General features: G+C 38.2%; 1 long non-coding RNA gene across 1 annotated transcript in view; it reads left to right on the top strand.

The window, feature by feature from the left end:
- Window positions 1-6,797: 6,797 nt before the first annotated feature.
- The window catches only part of LOC105370476 (uncharacterized), a 166,495-nt gene continuing 156,569 nt past the window's right edge, over window positions 6,798-16,723 (top strand). Inside the window, exon 1 of the long non-coding RNA XR_943820.3 lies at window positions 6,798-6,839. This is a non-coding gene — a long non-coding RNA (uncharacterized LOC105370476). The remainder of the gene's footprint in view (window positions 6,840-16,723) is intronic.

Consider the following 16,723-nt stretch of genomic DNA (forward strand, 5'->3'; position numbering starts at 1 on the left):
TTCACCACTGTTATTCAACACAGTACTAGAAGTCCTAGCTAGAGCAATCAGATAAGAGAAAGACATAAAGAGCAACAAAACTGGAAAGGAAGAAGTCAAATTATCCTGGCTTAGAGGTTATATAATCTTATATTTGGAAAAACCTAAAGATTCCACAAAAAAACTGTTGTAATTGGTAAACCAATTCAGTAAAGTTGCATGATGCAAAATCAACATACAGAAATCAGTAACATTTTTATATGCCAACAGTGAACAATCTGAAAAACAAATCAAGAAAGTAATCCCATTTACAATAGCTACAAACAAAATAAAATACCTAGGAATTAACTTAAAGAAGTAAAAGATCTCTACAATGAAACTATAAAACGTTTATGCAAGAGATTGAAGAAGATACAAAAAAATGGAAAAATATTTCATGTTCATAGGTTGGAAGAATCAATATTGTCAAAATGTCCATACTACCCTAAGCAATCTACAGATTTAATGCAATCACTATCAAAATACCAATGACATTCTTCACAGAAATAGAAAAAAAAAATCCTTACAAAAAAAAATTGTAGGAACAAACAAAAGACCTAGAACAGCCAAAGCTATCCTAAGTAAAAAGAACAAAACTGGAGGAATTGCATTACCTGACTTTAAATTATACTGCAGAGATGGCAGAGTGTAGTGGCTCACCCCTGTAATCCTAGCACTTTGGGAGGCTGAGGTGGGTGGATCACTTGAGGTCAGGAATTTAAGACCAGCCTGGTCAACATGGTGCAACCCCGTTTCTGCTAAAAATACAAAAATTAGCTAGGGGTGGTGGTGTGGGCCTGTAGTCCCAGCTACTCAGGAGGCTGAGGCAGGAGAATCACTTTAACCTGGGAGTGGGAGGTTGCAGTGAACCAAGATCGTGCCATTGCACTCCAGCCTGGGCGACAGAGGGAGACTTTGTCTCAAAAAAAAAAAAAAAAAGAAGAAAAAAAAGAAATACTACAGAGCTATAATAACCAAAGCAGCATGGTACTAGCATAAAAGCAGACATATAGATTAGTGAAACAGAACAGAAAACCCAGAGATAAATCCATACATCTATAGTGAACTTATTTTTGACAAAGGTGCCAATAGCATATATGGGGGGAAAAGGACAGTCTTTTCAATAAATGGTGCTGGGAAAACTGGATATCCATATCCAAAAGAATGAAACTGGACTCCTATCTCTCACCATATACAAAAATCAAATTAAAATGAATTAAAGACTTAAATCTAAGACCTTAAACTATGAAACTACTAAGAGAAAATACTGGCTGGGCACAGTTGGCTCACACCTGTAACCCCAGCACTTTGGGAGGCGAGGCAGGTGGATCACCTGAGGTCAGGAGTTCGAGACCAGCCTGTCCAATGTGGCGAAACCCCGTCTCTACTAAAAATACAAAAAATTAGCCGGGTGTGGTGGTGTGTGCCTGTTATCCCAGCTACTCGGGAGGCTGAGGCAGAAGAATTGCTTGAACCCGAGGGGCAGAGGTTGCAGTGAGCTGAGATGGCGCCACTGCACTCCAGCCTGGGTGACAGAGTGAGACTCCATCTCAAAACAAACAAACAAACAAACAAACAAACAACAAAACATTGGAGAATCTCTCCAGAACACTAGACTGGGCAAAGATTTCTTGAGTAATACCCCAAAAGCACAGGTGACCAAAGCAAAAATGGAGAAATGGGATCACATCAAGTCAAAAAGTTTCTGCATAGCAAAGGAAACAATCAACAAAGTGAAGAGAGAGCCCACAGAGTGGGAGGAAATATTTGCAAACTAACCATCTGACAAGGGATTAATAGCCAGAATGTATCAAGAGCTCAACTCTATGGGGAAAAAAATATGATAATCTGATTTTTAAATGGGCAAAAAATTTGTATAGACACTTTTTAAAAGAAGACAAACTGATGACAAACAGGTATATGAGAAAATGCCCAACATCATTAATCACCAGAGAAATGCAAATCAAAACTGCAATAAGATGTTCTCTCACCCTAGTTAAAATGGCTTATATCCAAAAGTTAGGTAATGAGAAATGCTGGCAAGGACGTGGAGAAAAGGCAACCTTTGCACACTGTTGGTGGGAATGTAAATTAGTGCACTAATAGTTTGGATGTTCCTCAGAAAACTAAAAATAGAGTTACATAGGATCTAGCAATCTCACTGCTAGCGATATACCAAAAAGAAAGAAAATCTGTATATCAAAGAGATATCTGCACTCCCATGTTTATTGCAGTACTATGCACAATAGTCAAGACTTGGAATCAACCTAAGTGTCCAGCAACAGATGAATGGATAAAGAAAATGTGGTACATATACACAATGAAACATTATTCTGCCATAAAAAGAATGAGATTCTGTCATTTGTTACAACATGAATGGAACTGGAGGTCATTATGTTAAGTAAAATAAGCCAGGCACAGAAAGACAAACTGCATATGCTCACTTATTTGTGGGAGCTAAAAATTAAAATAATTGTACTCGTGGAGATAGAGAGTAGAAAGATGGTTACCAGAGGCTGGGAAGGGTAGTAGAAGCATTGGGGTAAGTGAGGATGGTTAATGGGTACAAAAAAAATAGAAAGAATGAGTAACACCTAGTATTTGCTAGCAGAACAGGGTGAGTATAGTCAAAGACAATTTAATTGTACATTTAAAAATAACGATTATAATTTGATTGTTTGTCACACAAAGGATAAATGCTTGAAGTGATAGATACCCCATTTACCCTGGTGTGATTATTACCATTGCGTGCCTGTATCAAAATATCTCATGTAGCCCATATATACACTTACTATGTACCCATACACACACAAAAAAAACTAAACACAAAAAGAGATATATCCCTTGTAAAGATGTGAGGCAAGCCAATGGAGTGGCGGAATGGCTCCCTGCTAAATATTCGAATGTCCCCCCCCACCCTCTTGCAGTTAGATGAAGTCATGTAGCTGTTTGTGGCCAATGGGATGTGAAGGAAAGTGATATGGTCACTGTTCTGTGGTGACCATAGAAGCTGTGTTCTGGTGTGAAGGAACTACAACCTGGAAGCAGCCTAGATGGCTGAGCTACCATGAGAAGTATACCTGCCCTTAAGAGCCACTTTGATTTGTAGTGAACACACTGCCCCAGTATGTTGAACCACTAATTTTTTTGTTTGTTTGTTTGTTTGTTTTGGGCATAGCCTATCCTGATGAATAGGCAGGATGGGACTGGCAGTTGGCAGTCCATCTGGCAGTTGGGATGACCATCAGTATGGCCAATTACCACTAGATTGAGCTCTGTGACATCCCTAGTAGGCAAACCCTACCCATGCATGCACAGCCTTTCAATTTCTAACTTTTAAACATAAATGGACAGCAAAATATTACTGTTAAGTAAATGTCCTCATATTAGACAGATTGACTATCAAAAGCAAACAAAAACAGATCTCAAAGGAAATAGAAACAAAGCAGTGAGCAAAGGAAAATTTCCAAAAGGATCTAGCTTATAACATTAAAGAAATGTGAGGAGATATTTTATTCCTGAAACAAAAACAAGTTGCTAATAATAAAAAAAAGGAATAATAAGTGAAAAGAGATCAAGAAGAACATTTGGGAATAAAATTAAAGAAAAGCAGCTGAAATTAAACTTCAGTAAAAGGGTTGGAAATAAAGTTAGAAAAATCTTCCAGAGAGAAATGGAAAACAGGGAAAAATGAAGGTAAAGTTAGAGAAGAAAGTGAAAAAGTGAGATGTTAAAAGAGTGCTAAATCATCTCGTTGCAAAATAAAGTGTCAATAACAATAATATCTAAACTTGCTTAAATCAAGAATTTTTGGTATAAGTATATACTTCAGAAATAAAGGGTAGCCAGAGGAAATAATGTAATGTTTGAGAAGGAAAACTCAAGACAGGAAAAAGCAGGCAGAGGATGGCTATTTTTTTCATGAGAGGTTCTATTAGTGCTATTTAACTTTTAATGTTAGGTAATGCATTAATTGTATAAAATAATAACTTTAAAAAAATAAAAATTTCTTATTGCTATTTTCCTCTTACCCTGTTTTTCTCACCCATGCATGGCACTATTGACATGTTGAACCAGATATTTCTTTGTTGTGAGGGCCGTCCTGTGTGTTGGAGGATGTTTAGCAGCATTCCTGGTCACTAGGGGTTGATTCAGTGGCACCTCTCTCCTCCATCCATTTACATTAATAACAACTAAAAATCTCTCTAGACACTGTCAAATCCCCTGGGGGATAAAATTGACCCCTGGTTTGGGAACCACTGATTTGAATCTACACAATACTAACATTAAAAACAAACAAAAACCAGAGGCACAAAAGCTCTCCAAATGTCCACCAACATGTCAAAAGCATTTAGAATTCACTTTGAATTGTAAAATTTCTTACGAGTCCGTAGGCTTTGAAATGTAGGTCTTAGGATCCATATATTTAAATTTGTGATGTATTGTGTTGCAGGGGTAATGCTGTTTGACTAAAATTAAGATCTTAATACCCACTGTGTGCTTTGACTTTCATTTTAGCTACCGTGAATTGATGAGCAAATCTAACATAGGAGGCATCCTCTTGAGTCCCTGCTGGATAGTAAGCACACCCCTGTCATTCAAATGTTGCTGAATAATAATCCACTGTTCTAAAGAAAAGACCTAACTATGGATGGGATATAATTAAAAATAACAAGCTGTGTATTCTGGTTACAACAGTAGCAAGTTTGGCTTTGTGTGGCTGAGCTGTTTGGAGGAAGATCCTGCAGTTTTAGCAGGACTCCTCTCATGTCCATATTAATCAATGCTCTTGTGGTCAATCAGAAGTTTGACTGATGCTTTCATGTGGATAGAGTAACTCTGCCAGCTAAGAATAGAATAATAACACAGAGAAGAGATAATAATAGACAGTTGGCAGTTTTAATGGACACAGCCTTCCTTCTGGAGAGCTTGTCAACCTTGGTTAAGGAGTCAGTAGGCTGATTTCTGTTTAATTTGGGCATATGACATCCAGGATTTCATTTCTTTGCATGGCTAATGACCTGGTCGAGGAACCAAATATCAAGTAGTGTGTTCACATTCATGAAATTGAAAATAATGTTTTCTCAGTGTTTGGGGGCATATTTTCTTGTTCCACTTTCATAAAGTGTGATTTTTATAGCAAAGTAAGGGAGAGAGACCCCTTAAAAAGAAGTCTTCCTAGTGATTAACTTATTATTTTAAGTTTTTAACATTACAGCAATTTAGAATTTCTTTGTACTTTATTTTATCTTCTCTTTTGCATGAGGGCATTTTCCTGTGTTTGGGTAACTGACCCATCTTTTCCCTTGGAAATGCTGATAGATTTTGCCTATTCCCTTAGCAGCTAGACTCTTGGGTTTGATTTGCTCCAGGCACTTAAAAAAAAAACGGAGAAATTTTCTTTATATTCTTGTTTTTTACTTTCCTTAGGCCTGTGGCATCTCTGGAGTGCTGTGCAGCAGATGGAGAAATGAAGCCTGCTGTTTCAGCTCATGAAAAGCTTACCTTAGTGATTCAAACTGGAGATCAAAGAACTTCATGGGTTTATAAGACAGATATATCAAGATCCAATCATATAGAATTGCTAATTTTTCATAAATCTACACAAAGGCAGCCTAGTCAAAGGCAATATATGCATCCTTTTCCATTAAAAAAGTAACAGAATGTAATTTTCAGGAGCATAAAGACTATTCATTTTCATGAATGTAGATTTGTGCTCAGAAATGGAATTGCAAACTTATTCAAGAGCTTAACAAAGTAAAGCTACATTTGGTTAAATGAAAGCAAATAGTGGAGAACAATATTTTTGAAACATGTTATTCTTTCAGCTAACATGAGTAAATGAGGAGTAGAAATGACAATTCTGCCTGTGTGTCAAATAAGCAAGCTTCTTAGGACATAAAGAGGTTAGAGGCTGAGATAAAAAGAAATTGATTTGGAAAATTGGAGAAATTCACAGTTAAGTAGTTAATTGGTAACTATTCCTGCTGCTAGCTTCTTCCGTAAGGAAACCTACAGGTAGCATTCTATACCATATTGGCTCTTCTGGACTGGCCAGACACGTGAGAGGTGTTGAATGAACTATTAATAAAAAAGCTCACCACATTTACATATGATCATCCTTGAAATGGAGATGACTAAACTATGGGAGTTGTTCAAAATGATTGAAACTTTGAAAAGAACCCACCTTTTGTAGTGATCCATCTAGTTGTTCAGGGAGTTAATGGGTAAAACAGATATTCCCAAGCAGTCATTTGCTGGAGGAAATGTACTGCTTCATCTTTATGTTCCTGGTTCTTACATTCAGCAAATTTTTACTGAGCATTTATTATGTTCCAAGTATCATGGCTGGTACTAGGAATACAGAGATACACAGTTGTTGACCTCAAGAAACTAATATTGTCGTGGAATGAAAGACATATTAACAGATATTTATGTTACTGTGATAAGTGCTAAGATGGAGCCATACCTAAGTCAGGCTGAAGGAGATGTTTGGAGTCAGATAAAGGGTTTGAGAGAAGAAAATATATCAGACACATCTTAAAGGACCAGAGACATATAGTCTGCTGAGGAAGAGGAATCAGGCATTTCAGGAATTTGGGTCTAGGCTTTTCTCCACTTTGTTGCTCCTTGGAACTTAGGTTGGGGTTGAAGAAGAGTTGTGAGATGTATTTCTATTGGTTTATGAGGAAGGGGTCTGTCTTAGTCTGTTTTATGTTACTTATAACGGAATACCTAAAACTGGGTAATTTGTAAGACATGAAATTTGTTTCCTTACAGTTCTGGAGGCTTGAAAGTCCAAGGTCAAGTGGATGCAACTGGTAAGACCATTCTTGCTGGTGGGGATTCTCTGCAGAGTCCTGAGGTAGTGTGGGACATCACATGGTGAGGGGGCTGAGCATGCTAGATCAGGCCTCTTGCTCTGCTTTTAAAGCCACCAGTCCCATTCCCATGATAAACCATTAAACCATTAGCCCATTAATTCATTATTGGATTAATCCATTGATGAAGGCAGAACCCTCATGATCCAATCACCTCTTAAAGGCTTCACCTCTCAATACTGGTACATTGGTGATTAAATTTCACATGAATTTTGGAGGGGACAAATGTTCAAACTATAGCAGGTCTTACCTTTGAGGGAGCTTCTCTGGAGGCTATCTAATATGAATACATTTGGCTTTGACCTAGGCCATTAGTTTATATCCTTCTCAGGATTCTCTTCCTTGTATTAAAGACAAAGGGTTTTTTTTTTTGCATGGTTTTTGATTTATTTCAAAAAGAACTATTTCATATGACATAACTTGAAGCCTATCATGGCAGTGAGGAAAAATTGTGTTGAAAAAATGACACAGCTAATTTATTTGATGAGGCAGTCAGAAAGATTAACGATTATTAGGCACCATTTAATGCATATGTTGACTGCTGCTTGCTTGTCTATTTGAAACCAGTCTTTAATCATAGATAAAAACAGGATTTGGCTATAGTTTCTAGTTGCTCTTGAATCATGGGCAGTGAGAGGCAATCTAGGACTTGAGTTAAAATACAAAATACTCTGACTTTTTTTGGATGGGCTATCTTTGCGGGCTAAACAGATTTCAAATAATTCATGGAAGGATCACATTATAAATAACCTGCTAGAGAACTTCATATAAAATTAGCTTTTATAAGCTTTTAACCCAAATTTTTTATAATCAAAGGAATAAAAAGTACATTTTCAAGTAATAGAATCCAAATTTGTTTTGACTAAAGCTAGTGTAAATTTTTAGTACCAAACAAGAACGCATGCATTATCACAGCTTTTCCTCCATTATGACAAAACAACTTTGTCACGAAGCCCAGACAGATTATTTCTATAAGACCATAACATGAAATGCCATTAGATGTCAAAGGCTTGCCAATTAAGGGTTTATCTTTGCAACAGAGGCAGCAGACACACAACAAAAACATGCCGTTTCCATTTCCTATAATCTGAGAAACTTGCTAGCAGCAAATCAACTGTATGAATGAAATTGTATATCTCTATCAGCAAATAATTCACTCAAACCTGTCTTCCTTCAAAGCCCTTTTTCATGTTTTGTTTTTTTGCATATTTACTAATAACAAGTATAGGAACGTAGTAAGTCAGTTGGAGAAAGGCTCTTGCCTTCCTTATTATGTGAGAAATTTGTATGATAAAAGTGGATGTACTCTGGACAAAGGACTCTGGACTTCAGGGTGCTTACTAACTCAGAAAAGCTGGACTGGAACTTTAAAATAAAATGACAACTAACTATGTGGTTTAAGTCAAAACCTCTAAGGAATCTGAGATCGGCTGTGCTGTTATGGTCCCACTAGTATATAGATTTTTGTTTTCTGCTCCAAGTTACATTATTTACTTCAGCTCTAGCTTGTAGGTCCATGGCTGAGGTCTGACAAGTGGGTATGGCCTCTGCATTACTGGGAAACACCCAGGGAAGGAAAGGTGCAATAATTCATGTGGAAGGGGACCCTCTGCTTTAAAACAGGGCTGTGGCTTCTGGTGCTGCCTTTGTGTGACTTTTTAAAAGATGTCTCCTCTGAGTAGGGCAGATTTTGGAGAGCAGAGTACAAGTTGAATTTCACCCCTTACTCATCCCGTCAACCTTACCTGGTTGGTAATGCTGCTTGAGTGGCTGATGTTTTAAGAGGCTGTGAAGAGAAGCTTCCATAGTAGCTGCAGATGATCTGCAGAAAGCATCTGCCCTAGTTAAGTTTTATGTATAAGGTGTTTTTTTTTTTTTTTTTTTTTTTTAATGGAGTCTCACTCTGTTGCCCAGGCTGGAGTGCAGTGGTGCAATCTTGGCTCACTGCAAGCTCCGCCTCCCAGGTTCACGCCATTCTGCTGCCTCAGCCTCCCAAGTAGCTGGGACTACAGGTGCCTGCCACCACGCCTGGCTAATTTTTTTTTTTTTTTGTATTTTTAGTAGAGATGGGGGTTTCACTATGTTAGCCAGGATGGTCTCGATCTCCTGACTTCATGATCCGCCCGCCTTGGCCTCCCAAAGTGCTCGGATTACAGGCATGAGCCACCACGCCCGGCCCAGGTATAAGGTTTTTATGTCTGCTTTTTCCTCTTTTACCTTGTGCCTAGGATAAAACACAGCTCAATAAATATTTGATCTGTAAATGTGACTGATTAGCTGACAAATGGGTTAGAAGAATTGTTACTTGGTGGTATCTCCCAAATACATTTAGGGAATGTTGATGTTGTGATAAGGCAATCGAATTTTCTCTGTAGGTCTAGACCCTACAGTTTTACTCATTAGCTAGTCATAGTAAAATGTCCCTCATTAACATGGGTGACTTGCTACCCAACTGTTTCCTTTATCAGAAGCGGCTATATTAAGTACTTCAGTCTGTTCTTAATGATAGTACATCCACATCACTACGGAGACATGAATATTCATCAAAAGTTCAAAGAGATGACAAAGTCTAAAAACACAGAGGGGCAGTGAGAAACCAAGAGAAGCAAAGAGGGGAAGAGAGTATTTGTAGTGATAGTCAGAGGCTCAGTAATTACACTTTTCTTCTTGTCATATTCTTTTCCTTTCCATCCATAGGAGAATATATTTTCTAAGCAGGTGTAAGGCTTTCTCCCCCTGTTTTCAGCAAAGATGTTCCCTGCTAGCTTAGTACCTGGGTCATCAGAACAGACACTTGTTTGATGAAACATGGCTCTCTTGTTTGGACAGATAACGTTAACTACAAACATATGCTTACCTGTGAAGAGTTTCCTAGGTAAAGCCTAAAGCATCTTTCTTTTGAACATTTTTACTTTGCATTCAAACTGTGTTCTGATTTTGTGCCAAAAAATATCTTGCAATTCTCTTCTTACCAGAAACCGGAGGTAACATTCTTAGTTTGGAACCATGTGTCCCTTCTCTTCTTGTGCTTCTTGTTATCAGCTGTACTCAATGTTTTGACTCCACAGGTGAATCAGATGCACAAGAAATTTCGTGCTCGGCTTCCTCCACCTCTACCGCTGATTCAGAAACTATTCTCTTTTTGCCACGAAGACAAGAGATGAAATGCCAGCAATGTTTTCACTTTCTTCCATCATCCACCTCTCTTTCTAAGAAATTTCTAAATGTTGACTTCCAAATTTGTGGGCCTTCCAGGCAGTTATTTTTGTCCATATGGAAACTGAACAGGAGCTAGAAATTTAGTAAATTTCATCATGTGAAATGTTTTTTCATAAGGGCCCAAATTGCAGTCTTTCAGAATTTTACACAGTTGTGGTGGTGGCAGGGGATAGTGAGGTGAAGAAGGGCAAGAAATGCTTTTAAATCTGCTTTAGGCTGTGTATGATCTTCATGAAAAGAGTATTTATTCATCTTAATCTGGGAATAGACAGCATGTGCTGCAAAGAACAGGGTATGTTGAAAGCTGGTTTATTTTTCTTTGCCAAGTATTTTCTCATTCTTGAATGTGACCCCAATTATGAAAGAGTTACAAATTAATGGCTCAGCCTTTCATCATCTTGATTTCTTGGTATAGGGCTGTAGAGAGGTGATGCTTCCTGTGAAAGAAATTGCGCTCAAAAGTACTTGAGGCAGTGAGTGGCACATAGCTTGGGAACCCTATTTACTAGACCAGTGAAGGGAGGCTTAAGTCCCATTTGGCTAATCAGCAATTTATTTTCACAGCAGAGGGAATTCTAGCAAACGGTGTTTAAGCAAATAAATAATAATGGCTTGGGGTGAGGCTATTAAGTCTCCAGCTATAACATTTGAGATTTAATAATGACTTGGAACTTTTCTATAGTAAAATACCATGCTGACCAGCTTACATCAGCATGGATGTTTGCCTTCATTAGCTTCACGGCTGTCAAGACTGTGACTTGTAAATTTTCACCCTTCACCTTCATGTAAAAGGCCACATACTCATGGTTACAAAGAGCACAGGAAATCATTTATTTTCCAGAAGGTTTAAGCGATTGGAATATTGGACTCAATATTTTTCTTTTGAACTATGTCTGTTCTTCTGACTGTGTAACTAGATACAAAAATAAAGAAGAGGAGAAGGTTGAATGAGCTTTACCTGACGCAAAATTGGTAAAGTAAAGCAGTAGTTAGCTTAGAAAAAGTGATTAGAAGCTGAAAAGCTAAGATCAAGAGCAAAAGGACAACTGGATTTCAGACATTAATTATTTTTAATTAAAGCATAAAGAAATCAACTTTATTCTCATACATTAGATACTATATTTGCTCTTAGCCAAAAGACTAAGAAGCAACCAGTCTCATATATTAGAAAGCCATCCATATTTATGGGAGGCTGATTTAGAAATATATAATAATATTATTTTCCTGTTGTGTGCAGACTCTCATTTCAGAAGAGGATGACCAACAAATATCAGAAAATATCAGTGAGCTATTTCTGAGATTTTGCCTAAGCTTTGTGTGTACAATATATAGATATTAGCAAAATTTTATTCTTTTGATGCTTTCTCTAGGAAAGAGTTTATAATTATGCCATTTGCAAGATGCAAATCAATAGTTGTGTTTGAACAATTTTTTTTCTCTGAAGCAAGAAGTGTGACTTATTACGAAAAGTACACCTAGGATTGTAGTCATAAGCTTGTAAGAACAAAATAATAGCATATACGAAGTTAGGATGTGTTCAGAACAGAATGGGAATGGGAATACATGTGGGAGCATGCCTGGGTGCTCAGCACTTCGTAAAATGAATAAAACAATAGCAAATGTGATTTGGCAGTGCATGGTCCAGTAACTGCAGGGCTCAAAAACAGTGTGAAACATTGCCTAATGATGAAAACTTCATTAGAAGTCAAGCTTTGTTGATTACAAATTAAGTGTTATCCCATTCTGCAAACTTAAGTTTAGGACCTTGGCCAAGAGTCACAGTAATTTTCTTTGAAACTTGGTCTCACTGCACTAGGCCAATCTTCTTTTTCTGTTGAAAATGTTCCAGAGGGAAGGTAGGTACAGCAGCATTACATGGAAAGGATACTGGGCCGAAAATTTAAAAAGCTTGTCTTCCAGTTTTCAATGTGTTACTAACTAGGTATGTAAAGCTGGACATATAAACATTCCTTTGTGTTTCAGTTTACTAAATGGTAAAGTGATCCGTATCCTTCCAGCAGTAAAATTGTGAGATGATTGCCTGTAGTCTCTCGAATCTTGGTGCAAGGGGAGGAGAAGCATCTGAGCCCTGCTAACATGAAAACTTTGCCTCAGGGTCCAGTACTATGAGCTACCTTCTCATAGCTCAGAGCTACCCTATGAGCTACTTTCTTTATCTGTGATATTATTGGTATTGGTGAGGAAGGGGAAAGAGGTTATTTTATTTTAACATATTTGGTGGGTATAAGTGCAGGATTCTTATATGCATATACTGTGTACTGGTGAAGCCTGGGCTTTTAGTGTACCCATCACTGAATAGTGAACATTTTACCCAATGGATAACTTTTCAACCCTCATGCCCCTCACATTGTCTCATCTTCCCACCCTTTGTAGTCTTCAATGTCTATTATTCCCTTCTTTATGTCCATGTATACCCATCGTTTAGCTCTCACTTATAAGTGAGAACATGTGTTTTTTGATTTTCTGTTTTGGAATTAATTCACTTAGGATAATGGTCTCCAGTTCCATCTACGTTGCTGCAAAAGACATGATTTCATTCCTTTTTATGGCTCAGTAGTATTCCAAAGTGTGTATACATATGATGATGGAAACTTAGGTTGGTTCCATATCTTTGCTATTGCAAATAGTGCTGTGATAAACATATGAGAGCAGGAATCTTCTTGATATGATTTCTTTACCTTTGGGTGGATACCAATGGTGGAATTGCTGGGTGAATTTTTAATTCTTTGGGAAATCTCCACACTGTTTTCCATAAAGGTTGTACTAATACAAATTCCCACCAATGGTGTATAAGCATTCCCTTTCCTCTGCATTCTTGGTAACATCTATTGTTTTTAGACTTTATACTAATGACCATTCTGACTAGTGTAAGATGGTATCTCATTGTGATTTTAATTTGCATTTTTCTAATTAGTAATTTTGAGCATTTTTTCTGGTGTTTGTTGGCTCCTTGTATGTCTTCTTTTAAAAAATGCCCATATTCTTTGCTCACTTTTTAATGGGATTACTTGTTTTTTTCCCTTTTGAGTTGTTTGAGTTCTTTGTAGATTCTGAATATTAGTCCTTTTTAGGATGCATAGTTTGCAAATATTTACTCCTATTCTGTAGATTGTTTACTCTGTTGATTGTTTCTTTTGCTGTGCAGAAGCTTTTTAGTTTAGTTAAGTCCCATTTGTCTATTTTTGTTTTTGTCATGTTTGCTTTTGAGAATTTGGTCATAAATTCTTTGCTTAGGCTGATGTCCAGAAGAGTTTGTCCTAGGTTTCTTTCTAGGCTTTTTATTTTTGCAGGTCTCATGTTTAGGTCTTTAATCCATCTTGAGTTAATTTTTGTATATGATGAAAGGTAAGGGTTCAGTTTCATTCTTCTGTATATGGGTATTGATAGAGTTTGGCTGTGTCCCTACCCAAATCTCATTTTGAATTGTAACTCCTACAATTCCCACGTGTTGTGGGAGGGACACAGTGGGAAGTAATTAAACCATGGGGGTGGTTCTTTCTTCTAATAGTGAATAATTCTCACGAGATCTGATGGTTCTGAAAAGAGGAGTTCTCCTGCACAAGCTCTCTCTCTCTTTGCCTGCCGCCATCCATGTAAGATGTGACTTGCTCCTCCTTGGCTTCTGCCATGATTGTGAGGCCTCTGCAGCCACATGGGACTGTAAGTACATTAAACCTCTCTTTCTTCTGAGTCTTGGGTATGTCTTTATCAACAGTGTGAAAACAGACTAATACATGTATCCAATTTCCCTAGCACCATTTATTGAGTGCAGTGACATTTCCCCAGTGTATATTTTTATTGACTTTGTGGAAGATTTATTGGTTGTAGGTATGTGACTTTATCTTTGGACACTCTATTCTGTTACATTGATCTGTGTATCTATTTTTATACCAGTATGATGTTGTTTTGGTTATTATAACCCTGTAACATTATTTGAAGTCAAGTAATGTGATGTCTCCAGCTTTGTTCTTTTTGCTTAGAATTGATTTAGCTTTTTGGGCTCTTTTTTGGTTCTGTATGAATTTTAGGATTTTTTTTCTAATTCTATGAAAACTGTTGTTGGTAATTTGATAGGAATTGCATTGAGTCTGTAGATTGCTTTGGGCAGTATGTTTATTTTAAAAATATTGATTCTTCCAATCCATGAGTATGGAATGTTTATCCATTTGTTTGTATCATCTTCAATTTGTTTCATCAGTGTTTTGTAGTTCTTTCTGTATAGATCTTTCACCTCTTTGGTTAAATTTACTCCTAAGTATTTAATTTTTTTTGGTACCTATTATAAATGGGTTTGCTTTCTTGATTTGGTTGTTGGCTAGATTGTTATTGGTGTATAGAAATGCTATTGATTTCTCTTCATATAATTTTATATCCTAAAACTTTATTGAATTCATCTATCAACTCTGAGTTTTTTGGTATAGTCTTCAGGTTTTTCTAGATATAAGATTATATTATTGAGGAACAGAGAAAATTTAACTTCTGCTTTTCCAATTTGAATGACTTATTTTTTCTCTTCCCTAACTGTTCTGGCAAGAACTTCTTGTATTTGTTGAATAAGAGTGGTGAAAGTGAACATCCTTATATTTTTGCAGTTCTTAGAGGGTGTTAAAGCAAACTAACTATGGCCTGAGAAGGACTCCGTACTGTATTTAAGTCCTTGTGGACAAACTGCAACCTAACTTAATAGGTAGACAAGATTGAAAACCTAACTTAGCTGTTCCAAGATGGCCAAATAGAAACAGCTCCGGTCTGCAGCTCCCAGCATGATCAACGCAGAAGATGGGTGATTCCTGCATTTCCAACTGAGGTGCCTGGTTCATCTCACTGGGACTGGTTGGACATTGGGTGCAGCCCACAGAGGGTGAATCGAAGCAGGGCAGGGCATTGCCTCACCTGGGAAGCACAAGGGGTCAGGGATTTCCCTTTCCTAGCCAAGGGAAGCCATGACAGACTGTACCTGGAAAAATGGGACACTCTCGCCCAAATACTGCACATTTCCAAAGGTCTTAGCAACCAGTAGACAAGGAGATCCTCTCCTGTGCCTGGCTTGGCGGCTCCTACACCCATGGAGCCTTGCTCACTGCTAGCGCAGCAGTCTGAGATGGAACTGCGAGGCAGCAGCCTGGCTGCAGGAGGGGCATCCACCATTGCTCAGGCTTGAGTAGGTAAACAAAGTGTCCAGGACACTTGATCTGGGCAGAGCCCACTGCAGCTTAGCAAGGCCTACTGCCTCTATAGACTCCACCTCTGTGGGCAGGGCATAGCTGAACAGAAGGCAGCAGACAATTTCTGCAGACTTAAACGTCCCTGTCTGATAGCTCTGAAAAGATCAGTTGTTCTCCCAGTACGGCGTTTGAGCTCTGAGAATGGACAGACTGCTTCCTCAAGTGAATCCTTGACCCCCGTGTAGTCTAACTGGGAGACACTTCCCAGTAGGGACCGACAGACACCTCATATAGGCAGGTGACCTTCTGGGACGAAGCTTCCAGAGGAAGGATCAGGCAGCAATATTTGCTGTTCTGCAATGTTTGCTGTTCTGCAGCCTCTGCTGGTGATACCCAGGTAAACAGCATCTGGAGTGGACCTCCAGCAAACTCCAACAGACATGCAGCTGAGGGACCTGACTGTTAGAAGGAAAACTAAAAAACAGGAATAGCATCAACATCAACAAAAAGGACATTCACACCAAAACCCCATCTGTAGGTCACCAGCATCAAAGACCAAAGGTAGATAAAACCACAAAGATGGGGAGAAACCAGAGCAAAAAAGCTGAAAATTCTAAAAACCAGAGCACCTCTTCTCCTCCAAAGGATCTCAGCTCCTCGCCAGCAACAGAACAAAGCTGGATGGAGAATGACTTTGATGAGTTGACAGAAGTAGGCTTCAGAAGGTAGGTAATAACAGACTTCTCCGAGCTAAAGAAACATGTTCAAACCCGTCGCAAGGAAGCTAAAAACCTTGAAAAAAGATTAGATTAATCACTAACTAGAATAAACAGTGTAGAGAAGACCTTAAATGATCTGATGGAGCTGAAAACCGTGGCACAAGAACTTCATGATGCATGCACAAGCTTCAATAGCCGATTCAATCAAGCGGAAGAAAGGTTATCAGTGATTGAAGATCAAATGAATGAAATAAAGCGAGAAGACAAGGTTAGAGAAAAAAGAGTAAAAATGAATGAACAAAGCCTCCAAGACGTGGGACTATGTGAAAAGACCAAATCTATGTTTGATAGGTGTACCTGAAAGTGATGGGGAGAATGGAACCAAATTGGAAAACACTCTTCAGGATATTATCCAGAACTTCCCCAACCTAGCAAGGCAGGCCAACATTCAGATTCAGGAAATATAGAGAACACCACAAAGATACTCCTCGAGAAGAGCAACCCCAGGACACATAATTGTCAAATTCACCAAGGTTGAAATGAGGGAAAAACTGTTAAGGGCAGTCAGAGAGAAAGGACGGGTTACGCACAAAGGGAGGCCCATCAGACTATCAGCTGATCTCTTGGCAGAAACCCTACAAGCCAGAAGAGAGTGGGGGCCAATATTTAACATTCTTAAAGAAAAGAATTTTCAACCCAG

Source organism: Homo sapiens, chromosome 14, assembly GCF_000001405.40.
Source record: "Homo sapiens chromosome 14, GRCh38.p14 Primary Assembly".
NCBI lineage: Eukaryota > Metazoa > Chordata > Mammalia > Primates > Hominidae > Homo > Homo sapiens.